This window comes from Homo sapiens, chromosome 6 (genome assembly GCF_000001405.40).
Source record: "Homo sapiens chromosome 6, GRCh38.p14 Primary Assembly".
Taxonomy (NCBI): domain Eukaryota; kingdom Metazoa; phylum Chordata; class Mammalia; order Primates; family Hominidae; genus Homo; species Homo sapiens.
Window position 1 is genome coordinate 57,215,878 of NC_000006.12, and position 17,953 is coordinate 57,233,830.

At 39.2% G+C, this 17,953-nt stretch overlaps 2 protein-coding genes across 7 annotated transcripts in view, besides 1 other annotated feature; one reads left to right on the top strand and one right to left on the bottom strand.

Moving 5' to 3' along the window:
- The window catches only part of RAB23 (RAB23, member RAS oncogene family), a 35,316-nt gene extending 28,886 nt beyond the window's left edge, over positions 1-6,430 (bottom strand). For 2 of the 6 annotated variants that reach the window (NR_103822.2, NM_001278666.2), the window contains exon 1: positions 6,318-6,430. The gene's annotated coding sequence lies outside the window, so the exon portion shown is untranslated. Of the gene's footprint in view, positions 1-5,441; positions 5,586-5,848 lie in introns of those variants that run through there. The other 4 variants (NM_001278667.2, NM_016277.5, NM_001278668.2 and 1 more) reach the window with 4 other exon arrangements.
- The window catches only part of PRIM2 (DNA primase subunit 2), a 425,311-nt gene continuing 413,020 nt past the window's right edge, over positions 5,663-17,953 (top strand). The window contains exon 1 of the mRNA XM_047418987.1: positions 5,663-5,840. The gene's annotated coding sequence lies outside the window, so the exon portion shown is untranslated. The remainder of the gene's footprint in view (positions 5,841-17,953) is intronic.
- Positions 5,784-6,133: a silencer, noted in NCBI's record as "silent region_17304". NCBI's record gives its function as "represses an Ori minimal core promoter by ATAC-STARR-seq in GM12878 lymphoblastoid cells {active_cell/tissue: GM12878}" and the evidence as "EXISTENCE:reporter gene assay evidence [ECO:0000049][PMID:35858748]".

A 17,953-nucleotide genomic window follows, 5' to 3' on the forward strand; every position in this document is an offset into this window, starting at 1 on the left:
GGACTATAAAGGGAGGTACGGGTTCCACACTTCACTTGAATTTGTAAAATATTGACTGCAGTGATAAATTATGGGGATAAATCACATATACAGTCATGCACCACATAACAACATTTCGGTCAATGATGGATTGCATATATAACAGTGGTCCTTTAAAATTACAATGCCATATGTTTACTATGCCTTTTCTGTGTTTAAATATGTTTAGATACACAAATATTTACCAATGTGTTACAAGTACCTACAGTATTCAATACAGTAACAGCGTACAGGTTTGTGGCTTAGGAGCAATAAGCTCTAATAGCATACAGCCTAGATGTGTAGTAGGCTATACCATCTAGGTCTGTGTAAGTACATTTTAGTATGTTCACACAATGACAAAACCATAATGTGCATCCCCATCATTAAGCAATGCATGACTATATATATAATGTAATACCAAGAACAACCACTAAAACAATAATACAAGCAGGTACTCTCAAAAACACACAGATAAATCAAAATGGAATTCTAAAAACACAATAAAATCAGAATTTAATTGATATTTATAGAACTGTCTATACAACAGCACAATATACCTCCTTTCAAGTACCCAGATAGAACATATTCTGGGCCATAAAACAAACATCAACATGTCACAGGGCAAACCCCAAAACTGGAGTTCAGCCCAGGAGGCCACGTGGGTTTTTGGCTTTGTGCAGAAGGAATTCAAGGGTGAGCCGACAGAGTGACATGAAAGCAAGTTTATTAAGAAAGTAAAGGAATAAAAGAGTGGCTGCTCCATAGACAGAGCGGCCCTGAGGGCTGGTGGTTGGTTATTTTTATGGTTTTTTTTTTATTATATGCTATACAAGGGGTGGATTATTCTTGACTTTTCTGGGAAAGGGATGGGGGAATTCCCAGAACTGAGGGTTCCTCCCTGTTTCAGATGATATAAGGTAACTTCCAGACGTTGCCGCGGCATTTATAAATTGTCACGGTGCTGATGGCAGTAACCTTTAGTATGCTAATGTATTATAATTAGCATATAATGAGCAGTGAGGACAACCAGAGGTCACTTGCATGACCATCTTGGTTTTGGCCAGCTTCTTTACTGCATCCTGTTTTGTCAGTGGGGATCTTTTAAGACCTGTATCTTGTGGAACCAGATCTACTGACCTCCTGTCTCAAACACACTTAAAATAATGGAAATCATACAGAATATGTTCACTGATCACAATGGAATCAAACTAGAAATCAATAACAGAAAGATAAAACAGGGAAATCTCCAGACAGAAACTAAAAGCACACACTTTTCAAATAATCCAGGATTCAAAGTAGTAGTTACAAGGAAAGCAAAAAAAAAAAAAAACAAAATTAACTGAAAGTGAAAATACATGTGAAACTTTGTGGGGCACAGCTAAATTAGTGCTGAAATGGGAAAATATATTTTATTTTATTGTTATTATTTTTGAGACAAAGTCTCACTCAGTAGTCCAGGCTGGAGTGCAGTGGCCTGATCTCGGCTCACCGCAACCTCCCCCTCCCATGTTCAAACAATCCTGCCTCAGCCTCCCGAGTAGGTGGGACTACACGCATGCATCACCATGCTGGGCTAATTTTTGTATTTTTAGTAGAGACAGGACTTCACCATGTTGGCCAGGCAGTTCTCTAACTCCTGGCTCAAGTGATCCGCCCGCCGTGGCCTCCCAAAGTGCTGGGACTACAGGCGTGAGCCACCGTGCCCAGCCTAAGATACGAAAATTTAGAGCGCTAAATGCTTACTTTGAAAAGGAAAAAAGTTTCAACTCAATAATCTAAGCACTCACCTCAAGAACTAGAAGAAGAGCAAAATAAACCCAAAGCAAGCAAAAAAAAAGGAAGATACTAAAAAAGAAGAACAGAAATCAATGAAATTGCAAACAGAAAAACTGATGAAACAAAAAGCTGGCTTTTTGAGAAGATCAATAAATTTAATAAAACTTTAGTGAGACTAACACAAAAAAGAGAGAGGATACAAATACCTAATACCGGGAATAAAATAGGGGATAGCAACATAGACTCTGCAGACTCAAAAGGATAACGTAACAACCCTACACACATAAATGTGACAACCCAGACAAAATGAACCAAATTTTTGAAAAGTATAAACGACCATAATTCACCCAATATAATATAGGTCCATTTGAATACCCCTATAACTATGAAGGAAATTGAATTTGTAATGTAAAAACTCAGAAAGAAATCTACAGGATCAGGCAGTTTCACTGAAGAATCCTACTAAACATTTAAAAAATTAACACCAATGTACACAATCTCCTCCAGAATAGAGACGAGGAAACACTTCCCAACTCTTTTTATGAAGCCAGCATTATCTTGATACCACAAAAAGACACTACAAAAAAGAAAATTAGACAAACTCTTCTGAACAAAGATGTAAAAATCTTCAACAAAGTATTAATAAATTGAATTCAGCAATATTTAAAACACAATACACTGCAACCAAGTGGACTTTATTCTGGGAATGCAAGGCTAGTTAAATACTCAAAAAACAATCAATGTAATCCACCATATTAATAAACTCAAGGAAAAAAACACAACATAGTATCAATTGATGCAGAAGAAATATTGACAAAATTCAACATTTGTGAGAAAACTCTGAGCAAACTAGAAATAGAATGGGACTTCTTCAACCTGGTAAAAGGCATCTATAGGCCGAGCACAGTGGCACACATCTGTAATCCTAGCACTTTGGGAGGCCAAGTCAGGCTGATCACTGAGGTCAGGAGTTCGAGACCAGCCTGGACAACATGGTGAAACTGTGTCTCTACCAAAAATACAAAAAATTAACTGGGTGTGGGGTTGCTCGCCTGTAATCCCAGCTACTCAGGAGACAGAGGCACAAGAATTGCTTGAACCCGGGAGGCAGAGGTTGCAGTGAGCTGAGATCGTGTGCCACTGCACTCCAGCCTGGGTGACAGAGTGAGATTCTGTCTCCAAAAAAAAAAAAAAGGAAAAAAAAGCATCTATAACATAAAACAATTCTGGAAGACAGACTGCTTTCCCCTCACATTGGGAACAAGGTAAGGATATATATTCTCACTACTCCTATTCATCATACATGAAGTTCTAGTCATTGTAATAGGAAACAAAAATAAAACACAGATTAGGAAAAAATTAAAACTTTCTCTATTCACAAATGACATGATTATCTCTGTAGAAAAACCCATGGAATCCACCAAAAATTCAAAAACCAAACCCTGAACTAATGAGTTTAGCAAAGTCAGAGGACATATGTACAACACACAAAATTCAATTGTATTTCTGTGTACAAACAATGTACAATTTGAAACCAGTATTTTTTAGAATGAGATTTACAATAGCTCCAAAAACATTAAATACTTAGGTATAAATGTAACAAAACATGTACACAATCTGTATGCTGAAAACTACAAAACACTAAACAAATCAAAGACCTAAATAAATGGAAAGACATATCATGTTCATAGATTGGGAGACTCAACAAAGTAAACAGCAATTCTCCCTAAATTGATCTACGGGTGTAATACAATTTCAATCAAAGCACCAGCCAAATTTTTCTGTATCCACAAGCTGATTCTAAACTTTATACACAAAGGTAAAAGAATCAGAATAGCTAAAACAATTTTGAAAAAGAATAAAACTGGAGGAAATTATACTACCTGGTTTTAAGACATTATAATGCTAAATTAACAAAGTGTAATACTGGCAAAGGGAAAGCTAAGTAAATCAGTGGAACAAAACAGGCCCAAAATAGACCCTCACAAATAAAGACAATTGATTTTTAACAAAGGTGCAAAAGCAATTCAATGGAGAGAAGACAGTCTTTTCAACAAATAGTGACGGAACAACTGGACATCCATATGCAAAAAAGTAAACCTTCACACCTTATACAATTAACTCAAATGGATCACAGATCTAAATGGAACACTTTTATAAAACAATTTTTAGAAGGAGAAAATCTTGACCTGTTAGGCAGAGTTTTTAGACATGACACCAGATGACCCATAAAAGGAAAAACTGATACTGGACTTCACCAAAATTAAAAACATTGCTGTCTGAAAGACACTGTTAGAATGAAGAGAAAGACAGACTGGAAGAAAATACCTGAAAAACACGTATCTAACATATAATTTGTATCCAAAACATATAAAGAGCCTTCAAAACTCAACATAAGAAAACAGCCCAATTTAAAAATGGGCAAGAGACTTTGCCAGATACCTCACCAACGACTCCATGTGGCAAATGAACACATGAAAACATGTACATCTTTAGCCATTAGTTAAAGGCACATTAAAACCACAAGGAGATACCACTACACACCTATTAGAATGGCTAAATTTAAAAAAACTGACACTATCAAATGCTGGGAGTATGTGGAGCAACTAGAACTCTCACATGTTGCTTGTGGGAATGCAAAATGACACAGATACTCCAGAAAACAGTTTAACAGTTTTTTAAAAGTTAAACATACATTTACCATATGACCCTGCAATCCACTCCTAGCAATACCCTAGAGAAATGAAAACATGTCCATGCAAAAACCTGTACATGGTATTTATAGCAGATTGATTCATAATCACAGAAAACTGAAAACAACCTCAATGTCCTTCCATGGGCAGATGTTGAAACAGACTGTGGCATATCCACATAATAAAATAGTACTCAGCAATAAAAAAAGAAATTATCCATACATGAAACAACTTGGAGAAATCTTAAAGGCATTATGCTGAGTGAAAAAAAGCTAACATCGAAAGATTACTAACTGTTATGATTTCATTTCTAGAAAAGATTAGTAATTGCCAGGGGTAAGGAGTATGATATAATGGGATCACATTAGGTTTTTTTTCTGTGGCGGGGGAGCGATAGATTTGTTCTACATCCTTACTGTAGTGGTGGTTACATGAGTCTAAAATTCGCAGAACTGTACATCGAAAAAAAATCAATTTTACCATACACTTTTTAAAATAATAAATTAATTTCCTTAAAATAAATTTAAAGAAAAAAGCCAAATTAAATTTTAACAGGCAGTCGGACTCTTGCTTTTCAGAAACTATAGACTTAAAGCACTAGATCAAAACAATTACGTTCCTAGAAATAAGCATACTTCTGAGTACAATTAAAAACCTCGACAATAATACTTTATATAAATACCCTTTCCCCAAAACTTTTAACATTTTGCTAATGCGGTCTAATAAATTAGAGAAGCAAAGGGTGAGTTAACTCACTAATCAAAAGGTTGTTTTCTCATAACAGCCTTTATTTAAGTAGAAGTACAGGTTATATTTGTAAAAATACTGAAAAACTTCTTAGGGTCAATGAAATTACCTAGATGTTAGGAGATACATAAAAACCTAGAGAAGTTAACAGCCCTTTTCAGACCCTACTGCCACTTCACTAGCTCCTGATAATGAAGTTCTTACTCTCACACGCTCTCAGGTTCTTACTCCTGGGAACTGCCGATGGCTCCTCGGATCTCCGAGTAAAGTTAATTCTGTAGCAACCAGTGTCAATGGAACAGCACAATTTGGCTCATTCATATTCCAGCACTCTATGAACAAGAAACTAGGGAAGGGTGGGGTCGCGGGTAAAGAGTGGTCGCACTGCAGGGAGGAGTCTAAATGCCAGGGTGGAGCTGAGGACTCTCTTCGCCATCAAACCTAACCTGAGCACTTCACGCCCTTACTGGTGTCTGGCCCAGCCCGGGTCGCCCCTTCCCCAGTCGGGACTTGGGGCAGGCAAAAAGCCGAACGTTCGGCCAGACTGGGGACGCAGCGCCGCCCTCGCTCCACCCCTCTTTCCCGCCCACCAGGCAATTCCAGGTACCCACCGCTGGGAGCTGGGAGGGGGCGCCGGGCTGGCGCTGCCGCCCACCTTCTCTAGCTGGAACTTGGGATCGGTGCTCAGGGAGGGGAGAGCCGGCGCTCGGCGGTCCGAACCGGGGGATGGGGGAGCCGGGCCGGGAGGCCCCTGCCCTCGATACCCCTGCCCACTCCGGAGAGTAAGGCACAACCCGGGACCCCGGGGAGAAGCTGAGTCTTCCCCAGTGGAGCCGGACGAACCCCCAGCCCCTGGAGAGGGCGAGTGAGTGCAGCGCCGCTGCACCGCAGCGCGAGCCGCTACTCACCGTCCCCCACCGGCCGCGGACCCGCCGCCCGGCGCCACCGGCTCCTCCTGGTCGCGGCGCAACCGCTGCCGCCGCTGTCTCCTCCCGACGCGCCAGCTCTCCCTGCGGGGCCGAGCGGCTAGTTCGCACCCTCTTTCGCTCTCTTAAGAATGATTATGATTTTTAAACGAACTTTATTAGTAGCCAGGGCTCAGATTGAGTGGCTCAGCAGCAGCTCCGCCGGGGGTGGTGGGGCGCGGGAGTCTCGACTCCCCTCATCTGTGGACCCGCCGCGCTGCGGAGCATGCGCCGTGCTTCGTCTGCGCATGCTCTGTGCGGACCCGCGGCCCTGCCCCGCCCCTGTTCTGGCGGGTGGCTGGCGGCGGCTCAGCTTTCCAGGCGCCTCCAAGGGAGCCCGGGAGGGCAGTGGGGAGATCAGAGACGAGCAGGATCTCCTAGATCGTGAACTCTAGAAAAGAGAAATCGGCCAATGACGGTCCGCATGAGTTTCGCCTACAGAGTTATCACACTTCCAGTGTCCTCAAAGGGCTTGCCCCGCTTCGGACACCTACCTTATTTTCTTGACCAGATGACATCTTAAGTGGCCAAGTGAGCAAAAAAATGTCGAGCAAAGTCGAAAACGCACTCACACAGCCTGCAGGACAAAATAGAAGCCTGAGATGGTTAATTATTCAGAGAAGCGAACCAAAAACGAAAAGGTTCCGCAAAAGCAATCTCAACTTTGCTTCAGTTGTTTTTATATTTCAAAATAAAATAGAATAGAAAAAAAAGATGGAAAATACCAAGTGTTGGCCAGGATGTAGAGTAACTGCATTCTTCTACTTTGCTGCTGGAATGTAAACTGGAACAACTCCTTTGAAAAACAGTTTGGGACTGTCTGCAAAAGGTGCATACCCTATGGCCCCGCAGTTCCACGCCTGCATATAGAGCAAAGAGAAACGAATACTTAGGGTGCACGGACAGGCAGGTATCAGAATGTTCGTAGCTGCATTTATTGTAATAATTCCTTAATGAGAATAACCCAAAAGACCATCAACAATAGAATAAATTAATGAAATTACACAGAGTTCATATAATGAAACACTATACAGCAACGCAAAAAAGCATCTGCAATTACAGGCAATAACGTGAATCAACTGGGGAAACCTAATGCCCAGCATAAAAAGACAACAAAAGTACACATGGCATAAGTCCATTTCTATAAACTACAAAAACAGAAGAACTAAGAGGCTCAAAGTTAGCATAATGGTTACCTTGGTGGGCAGGGGATAGTGACTGGAAGGAGTTAGCGACTAGAAGAGGGGCTTCCAGTTAGCAACTGGAAGAGGGGCTTCCTTCTAGTGAGGTTCTCTCCGTTGATTTTGGCGCTAGTTATAAATGCGTGTCCATTTGTGAAAATTCAAGCTGTACTCTTATGCACATTTTTCTGTATGTGAATTATAATTCACACTTAATAATTTTAAAAATTAGTGGAGATTATTTTACCTATAATAGCAATAGTATTTGTAAGAAATTTAATATCAAGTAGCTAACAGATTTATCTCTAGGATTTGGTTGGCAGTATCTCTTAAACTTGAGTAACGTACTGATGCCCTTTCTGAGAAAAGAAAAAAAACAATTAAAAAGTTGGCAAATGACTTGAATAGACATTTCTCCAAAGAAGGTATACAAATGGCCGATGAGCACATGAAAAGAGACTCAAGGTCACTAATCATGAGGGAAATGCAACTCAAAACCATGAGATACAACTTCACACTCATTAAAATGATGATTATAAACAAAGCAGAACAGAAAATAAATATGAGTGTTGGCAAGGATGTGGAAAAATTATAACCTTTGTGTGCTGCTGGTGGGAATGTAAAATGGTACGGCCACTATGGAAAATTGTATGGTTCATCAGAACATTAAAAATAGAATTATCGTATGATTAAATAATTCCACTTCTGAGTATATATTCAAAAGAATTGAAAACAGGGACTCAAAAAAAAATTTGTACAACCATGTTTATAGCAGCATTATTCACAATAGCCAAAGGGTGGAAGCAACCCAAATGTCCATCAATGGATGAATGGATGAACAAAATGTAGTATATACATGCAATAAAATATTATTCAGCCTTAAAAAAGGAGGGACCCAGGTGTGGCGAGGTATCCCTGTAATCCCAGCTACTTAGGAGGCTGAGATGGGAGGATCACTTGAATCCAGGAGTTCAAGACCAGCCTGGGCAAATCCTGTCTCAAAAATAAAAGAGAGAGAGGGAAATTCTGACACATGTTATAGCATGGATGAAGCTTGAAGACATTATGCCTAGTCGCAAAAGGACAAATGCTGTATGATTCAACTTATATAAGGTACATAGAGTAGTCAAATTCATAGAGACAGTTGGGGGGTGGGAAGTGGTTGTGGGAAAGGAAGGGCAGGTGGGAATGGGGAGTTACTGTTTTATGTCTACAGTTCTAGCTTTGCAAGATGAAGAAAGTCTGGAGATAGATGGTGGTGATGGTTGCACAACGATGTGAATAAACTTGATGCTCTTGAACTTTATACTTAAAAATGGCTAAAAATGGTAAATTTTATGTTTTATGTATATCTTGCCAAATTTCTTTTTAATGGGAAAAAAAAAAAAGAAAATCTTAGAGGGTCTCAGGGAGTACTTCTGGGATCCAAATTTGAGAAAAACTTCCTGAAAGGGGGTTCCCCCAAAATCATTTCTTTCCTCCCCACTTTTCCATTTCCTTGGGATTGTTGGACATTGAAGGAGATCCAGAATATGCCACCCCAAAACATGCCACTTTGACACAAGCATTATTTGGAGTTGAAGGCAATTAAGAAACAGCAGAACAGAAGAAACACTCTGCTTTTCCTATTTCTGCCTAAAAGCAGGACATAAATTTCCCTTTGTGAAGTTGTTCCTCCTCCCCATCCCACACTAGGAGGAGGAGATTCCTATCACCAGAGCACCAACTTGAGTCATATGGCAAACCTTGCAAAATAACCCTTGTCTTCCAATAGTTTCCCTCATATAGTTTACTCGGCCACAATTTACCACCTTCACAAGTCCCACCCCTTTTTCCTTTGTCTTATCACTTCTCCACAATTTATCACCTTTTAAAAAAATGGTATATAAGCTCTTAGGCCTAACTGCTTTTTGGGGTTTTCACTTCCTTTCTGTGAGGCCCCCCATGTGCATATGAAATAAACCTTTTCTCCTGTTTATCTGTCATTTGTCAATTTAATTTGCAGGCTTCTGCTACTGAACTTACAAGAGTAGAGAAAAAGTGTTTATCCTCCCTGCAGACATGCTCAGTGCAATTAAAGTCTACTTTTTATTTGACTTGAGGCTGCTCTCAAGGACACAGCAGAGATTCTCATGCTCTCACTGAAGGCAGTGAAATAATGAAAGCCTGCATGGAAACCTGGCCTTTTAAATCATGTAGTTGTGCTATAGTAGAAATAGCAACAGAATTAACCTAAAAGGTTTTGAAAGAAATTTTACCTGCAGTGACTAGAAATGAGTTTCACAAAATTATTTTAAGGAAAACATTCTGAAAAGTTAGTTATTAAGTCATTAAATGATTGTTTGAATCTAGTACCTCCACTGATCCAGCAAAAAATGTCCATTTGTTCCCTTGCTCGTTCTTTCATTGTGTCTGACTCTAATGAACTGAACAGTGTCCAAGGATCATGAATTGTAGCTGAGTAGAAAGAAAAACAGAAAAATCAGAAAATATTTTCTTCCAAGAAAGAAAGCTTTGAAAATTTTACCACTTAGAATATAAGTCTGCATATACATATGAATGCATATGTGGCCATCTGGAAAAAACTAGTAGAAATCACAGTATTTGGCTAGACAATAATAATCTACTGTTCTTCAGATTCAAACAGATCATGCTGGAAAAAAAATTTTTTCTAGTACTTTCTAGGCAGACATTAGAGTACTGATTCAGTTTTTCTGTTGCTTAATAACCTTGGATCTTAGTATCCTCATCTATAGTAAGGAGTTACCCACCTTACAAGGTCATTTATCCATTAAAAAAAATACATATTGTGCCAAGGACTGTGCTGAACATTGGGTATTCAGTAATAGACAAAAGGCAGATGGTTTGTGTCCTCTGGGAGCTTATAATGTGTTAAGGGAGACCAAAAAAGAAAGTATACAAATACACACATATGCACACATATACACAAATAAGTGATTACATACCCTTAGACATTATGTGAAAGTAAATAACTGGTATGATGGAAGCATGTAAGAGGGAGCCCTAATTTATGTTGGAGAACCAAGGGAAGGCCTTTCTGATACAGTGATTTTTAAGCTGTTATCTGAAAGATAAATGAGTTTGGTGAAGAATAGACAGAAAAAGCCTTTAAGCAGAGACAGCAGGAAGTACGATGGCCTGAGGCAGCAAACAATTCACTGGGTTTGAATAATTGAAAGGGAGCCAGTGTGCAGGAGTGAGGTGGAAAGCGGTATGTAAAAAATAAAGAACAGTGGTGAGGGAAGCAGGGGCCAGATCATGAAGACCTTGCAGGTCATATTAGGTAATTTGGATTATATCTCAAGTATATTGGGAAGCCATTGGAGGATTTTTTAGTGCACAGACTAGGAGATCCACTGGACAGTTTTAAAAAATTCCTCTGACTGCTATCTAGGGAAAACATAGAGTAGTGGAAAATGGGAGAGCAATGGAAGGCCGGTTCAGGCAAGAGATGATGGAGGGTTAGACTGAGATGGTTACAGGGGTGATACAGAAAAGTGCATTTGTTTTTAATCTTGGAAGTAGAACCTATAGGATTTGGCTATGGTGTAGGAAAAAGACGGAATGTAAAGAGTGACTTGCAGGTTTCTTGAATGACTGCCTTGCTGAGATTGGTCACTAAGGGACTAGTTATAACCCCTCACAGTGTGAGTCGGGGAATAATCTGTTCATTCTAAATTCCTTTTTGTTTTGTCCTTGATTGTTCTTGTATTATGGTCTAGTGTGTTCCAGCATATACACTTCTAGATTTAGGGCCCTTACTAACAAAGAATAATTAGAAAATAAAAATCTTTTTTTTTTCTTTACTGCCCAAGTCTTTCTCATATATATATTTACTTTTGTTGAAATACTCTTAGTATACTGAGAGACCTCCTCTCTAATGGAAAGGGCTGGACTAGACAACTCTCTGACTTTTGAGAACTTCGCTCATGGTAAATAAGGAAACGTCTGTGTGATATTCTTCCTCACACTTCTGTTGGAACATTTGTTCACCTCGCTTCAGTGATCTGATGCATTTTCAAGAGCTTATTCACAATCAAGTTTTTGTCATCCATTCCATAATTTAAATTCTTCTCAGTAGGCTGGGCACAGTGGCTCACGCCTGTAATCCCAGCACTTTGGGAGGCCAAGGCAGGAGGATCACCTGAGGTCAGGAGTTCAAGACCAGCCTGGCCAACATGGTGAAACCCCATCTCTACTAAAAATACAAAAATTAGCTGGGCGTTGTGGCGCACGCCTGTAATCTCAGCTACTCAGGAGGCTGAGACATGAGAATTGCTTGAACCCGGGAGATGGAGGTTGCAGTGAGCCAAGATCATGCCACTGAACTCCAGCCTCAGCCACAGGGTGAGACCATCTCAAAAAAAAAAAAAAAAAAAAAGAATAAATAAATTCTTTTCTCAGTGCTCTCATAAAATAAGTAGAAGGACTATTTGATTAACCTTATTTGTACATATAAATAAAGTAGGTAAAGGTCACATACCCTACAGGTAGTTTTGATACAAGAATCCAATTCTCTTAATGGGCAGTTATGAATTCAAACTCATCCACTTGCCCATTCCCTGGATTTACAATTATTAAGTCACAAAAAAGTGGTGAGGAAATGTTCTACTTGTGCTAATACTTGTGCATCAAATACTTGATGCTCATGACAGAATATTTTTACCTCTTAAATATAATCTTTTCAACATTAATCAGTAATTGAGGTTTTGTGCTTAAAGTTATTTTGCAACCAGGACTAATTCTTAATTTTTTAACCACTTCTACTCAACAAATATATAAAACACTTTAAATATTGATGCATCTCCTGGTTTTTGGTTTTTATTTCTTGATATCTTATAGAAGATCTACAAAACTAGAGTTAGAAGCCAGAAAGAAGCCTCAGATGGTGATAAATAAAAATGTTCTGTCTTAATGCTGATTTTTTCAGTAATGAAGTGGTATAAACTCATTACTTTCATGAAGCTTCCTAGGTCATGAAAATAACATTGTTGTAGAGCTTCCATGTGCATCAGGTATGACTGAATAGTTTGATGCACTTGCAAATCACAAAGTGCCTTCCTTTGAAATGTGTAAGGCAGGTTGAGATGCAGCTTCTCAGATGGATTTAGTCCCTCCTAGGACTAGATGTCTCCTTGTTGCAGCTGAATTCTCATTTCATTTACCCATAACTAGAAACACCTCATGAACACCTATTTTAAACATTGAGTTGCCATCAACCTGAGGGACCAAAGAAATGGATTGAGGGCAGGGAGTAGTTGGAAAGAGCAGGGAATTGATTTAAAGATGAGACATGTGCGATAATGAGGTACAGGCACTTTGTGGGGTATGGGAGGGCCCCAGGTAGACAGGAGCTGGCATATGGCTTACAGTCATCCAGCCAACGTTATTGGGCTCTTACAACTCAGGCTTCGGAGCCAGAATCCCTATATTTGAATTCCAGCTGTACCACTTACTAGCCGTGTTACCTTGGACAAGTTACTTAAATCTCTCAGCGCCTCAGTTTCCTCACTTGTAAAATGGAGATAATAGTAGTACTTCCTGGAGTTATTAGAGGAATTTAATGAGTTACCATACGTAAAAGCACTTAGAAGAGTGTAAGCCCTCAAAAGAGTTAGTAGAAGTACTAGTAGTATTTGAAAGTTACTAGTTATATGGGAATGGAAGGGACAGAAATGTCTCCAAACGGACTCATCTCTAAGTGGTGAAATGCCAATGGCATTGCCAATGATATATCTTTTTCTCCTCCTTGCTAGAGTTTTTCTTCAGCTTTACTGCTCTGCAGTGTCCAAGTATGGATTGTTTTTATTATATCTACAGTATTTAGTGTGCTACTTCAATAATGTCTTTCTTCAGTTCTGCAAAATTCTCAGCCTTATATCTTCAAATATTGCCTCTAACCCATTCTATTTTCTTTTTCTGGAACTCCTATTAAGAGAGGCTGATCCTAAACCCCTCTTATAATTTTCATATCATTATCTTTCTGGCTTTATTATGTGAAATGGCCGATCTTCCAGTTTACCAATTTCTTCTCCATCTATTTCTATTCTACAGTTTAAATTTACCTGAGTTTATAATCTCAATGAACTACATTTAAAATTTTCCACATGTTCTCTGTTTTGTTAAAATTTCTTTTCTCCTGTAGTCAAATTATTGTATTCATTAGGCTTTTTAATCTTTTTTTGCATTACTTTAATTCTTTTTTTATTTATTTTTTTTTTTTTGAGACTGAATCTCGCTCTGTTGCCCAGGCTGGAGTGCAGTGGTGCGATCTTGGCTCACTACAGCCTCTGCCTCCCAGGTTCAAGCAATTCTCTTGCCTTAGCCTCCCGGGTAGCTGGGATTACAGGCACATGCCACCACCCATGCCCAGCTAATTTTTGTATTTTTAGTAGAGACAGGGTTTCACCATGTTGGCCAGGCTGATCTCGAATACCTGACCTCGTGATCCGTGCACCTTGGCCTCCCAAAGTGCTGGGATTACAGGTGTGAGCCACTGTGCCTGGCCTGCATTGCTTTAATTCTTTTGAACATAATTATTTTAGTCCCTTTGCTATTGTTCCATTATTTCCAATTCTTTTTTGTTGCACTCGATGACTCTCCCTCATGCCTCCTTTGGTGGTTTTTAATTTAGGAATGTGAAGTCATCTTCATGAGGGCTGCCTTTTCTATGGGACTTCTATATGCTTAGCCCCTGTACAATGGCTTGATATCTGCTTTTGATATTTGCTTTTGTCAAAGCCAGGGCTTCAGAATGTTCAAAGATGTGGGAACAGCATTTAAATTCTCAGCTTGGAATGCCCACATCACATAGGTAGCATAAATTCAGAAAACATGTCCATCCATGGTGTAGGTTTTGGGCCTTGATTCCTCCCAGAAACATTTCCCCATTCAGGATCCTGGGGGATGGTAATCTTCCTTGTCGCTTCCCTGTTCTCCTTGACAAAATTTTTCTAGCTCCCTTTTCACTGAATTGGTGCGTATTCTAGTGCCTTGTTTTTATGTCTGTGTCTCACTTCCAGCCTTCTCTTTCATCTAGACCAGGACATCTCTTCAATCACTTGGGAGCATTCAACCTTCTGTTTTGGTCCTCAGGTGGGGCACTTTCTTGGCCTGTCAGGACCACTGGGGATTCCCCTTTCTTTGTTTTGACATAGGCTATTGTATTTTTTGTTGTTGTTACAGTTTATCTTAGTGTATATGTTTATCTACGCTTATCAAGGCTGTGCATATCTAGTGGGAGGGTTGATATCAGTTCAGTTAGCATCGTTACAGGAACAGGGAGTCTTGCTTTATTTTTTATTGCAAATTAATTCTGATCTGAGACATCACTTGCCAGGGGTCGTAAGATACCCAATGTCAGTCTTTAAATTAAAGATTTCCTTCTCTTTTCCATAGTTGCACAAGACTTGTCAGAGGCTTGCACAGTTTGGAAAACTTAGGCAAAGACCCTGGTACTCAATTGTGATCATCACTGTGATGTGAATTGCCCATGTACATTGAGTCTATTTGAATAAATCTACATCCTTTGTGCCCAGTTTGGTTATAAGTATCTTTTACCTCAACTCCCAGGGTTATGGAGGTTGGTGTTCATGTCTCCACCACTGAGAAGCTGAAGCACCTTCAGAGGCTGTACTGTATCTCCTGGTAAAGCCAGGCACAGATACCTGTAGTTTTTGGAACCTGCTACCTCCATCAGTCTCTAGGAAACTAATTACATTTTTTCAATCCTAAGGATCCACCTCTTGAGCAGAATGGTGAGGACATTTGAAATGTGTAGGTACATTTTTTGGTTATCTTAATGACTAGGGTATACTATTGTTATTTAGTGCCTAGAAACCAGGGATATCCAGTGAAGCTTTCCAGAAAGTCCACTGGAGACTTTTCTTTGAGAAACATTGTCTTTTCCATCCATATGTGAGATGGTCCAACTTAATCCTCTTGGAAAGACCATACTTAAAAAAGTTTTTACTTTTCCCCTAGGGAAGGTGTAATGAGCTCAGACCTTTTTAAAAATACAATGTTAGGTTTCTCTTCCTGTGGTAGGGAGGGGAAAGGGATTACTTTATTCTACTTGGTAAATACTTATCTCAAAAACTCACCTTGAATTACAAATAATGATGCAAAAACAAATTACAAACTGAGAAAAAAATACTCTCAATATATGACAGATAAAGGGCTAAATTTCTTTAATATACAAAGATCTCTTACAAGTCAATAAGCAACAAATAGGCAAAAACCACTCACATCCAGATACTGAAATGAAAGATAATAGCCTATTGACATGAGTATATTTAATATCTTCACAATTCAGAAAATGCAAATTAAACAATAAGGATATAATTTTCCTTGTGTCTGATTGACAAATTGAACAGGTTAACATTTAATATGGGGAAGGATGTGGGAAAACAAATATTTTGTTGGAACGTAAATGGAATTAACCCTTTTAGAGAGCAATTTGGCAAAATATATCAAAATTATAAATGTGTATTTCCATGTGTAACAATTTTATTTACACCATTTTCTATGAGTGCTTGAAAATATTAGTATATTCCAGGTAGAATCCCTAAGGGAAAAAAAAAAAACCACTAGTACAATGAACTTAATTATCCCAAACGCTAGGGAAAATGGATATGGAATTTATGGTCTGAGCAAAGCATTCAATGCTTTTCTTCTTTTCATCCTAAGTTATAGTTGGTTACTTCCAAATATAAAGGCTAAAGCTTTGGCATTACCATGTTTTCAGAGATTCAGAAATTCTTCTATTAAAGAAGATAATCTGTCTTGAATTTCTTCCAAAGATTTCTTTTTTTCAAGAGACATTATTTAAGGAAGATAGAATGAATGCAAGACAAAACAAGTTCCGCAAAACAAAACAAGCGTTCCGTTGTTGTATTAATGATGGTTATAGACATCGAGTTTCAGAGCCACGTTGATGAGTCCAGATTCTGGTCCTCAAATTTGTAAGTTTAAAAATTAAAATTTTAGGGACTGGGCGTGGTGGCTCACGCCTGTAATCCCAGCACTTTGGGAGGCCGAAGCAGGCGGATCATGAGGTCAGGAGTTCGAGACCAGCCTGACCAATGTGGTGAAACCCCATCTCTACTACAAATACAAAAAATTAGCCAGGTGTGGTGGCGCGTGCCTGTAATCCCAGCTGCTCAGGAGGCTGAGGCAGGAGAATCACTTGAACTGAGGCGGAGGTTGCAGTGAGCTGAGATCGCGCCACTGCACTCCAGCCTGGGTGACAGAGTAAGACTCTGTCAAAAAAAATAAAAATAAAATTAAAATTTTACCAAGGGATGGTTAGGTACCAGGAAACCAACCATCTTTCAAGAGCCTTATATACATAAATCAGAATGCTAATTTATTAACCTGTAATAGGATATATAGCAAGCATGATAACCAGATTTAAACTTGTCACAAAACACCTTCCCTTTCTTACAAATAGCAGACTCCTCCTTCTTGCTCTCTCCCTGTTCTTCTTCCCTGAATGTTTTCTTTTTGTTGTGCACATACAGTTAGGACACCAAATTGTAAGTCAGAAAGTTGTTGGGTGAGCACACAGTTAAAACAAATGGAATTGGATGCTTTTGGGATGGATTTCCAGCAAACTGAGAAGTACTAAGGAATTGTCCTTCCACATATTAGAGGTATTTCTTCCTAAAAAGCTGGCCACAGATCAAGAATCAGAATACTCTTTCTCTGGCTAGTACAGGAGAAATACTAGCAAAGATATATTTTCTAATTCTTCTTTCTCTAGTTTCCATGCAAACCATCATATTCCTCTGTATGAAATCATGTACCCACAGACATGTTGGAGTTTGGTCATAGCCTAGTTTGCATTTATGTTTTAAATTGATATCTCCAGCAAGAATTTCAGATATATTCTTGCCTTACTGAACTTTTGTCTCAGGGAAGTTTTCTGGGATGAGTTTCCATAAATGGGGTAATGTCAAGTATTTTATGTTGCTTCTTTCCCATTCCTGAAAGTAAGAATTATATTTTCATTTATTCATCCATCATACATTGAGTGCTGTAATTTGTCAAGCATTATGAGTGATACAAAGATACATAAAACATTGTTCCTGAATATATTTAATCTTTGGGTTTTATCTAGACTATGTACTATTTTAAAAATTAAACTAGCTTTTATAATTCTAAAAGTTACAACTTGCACTGGTAAAACTTCAACCTCTACACAAAATGCGTAAAATGATCACTAAATGTCTACCCTCTCCGTATGCACTTACCTGATGCCTGTTCCACTCCTAGGGGTAACATCTTGTTAACAATGTCTTTCCTCCTTCCCTCCTCCCCCTCCCTCCCTCCCTCCCTCCTTCCCTTTCCTCCCTCCCTCCCTTCCTTCCTCCCTCCCTCCCTCCCTTGACAGGGGCTCACTCCGTTGCCCAAGCTAGAGTGCAGTTGTGCCATCATAGCTCACTGTAACCTTAAACACATGGGCTCAAGTGATTCGATCCTTCTGCTTCAGCCTCCCTAGTAGCTAGGACCACAGGTGCACAGTACTACAGCACAACTAATTTTTAAA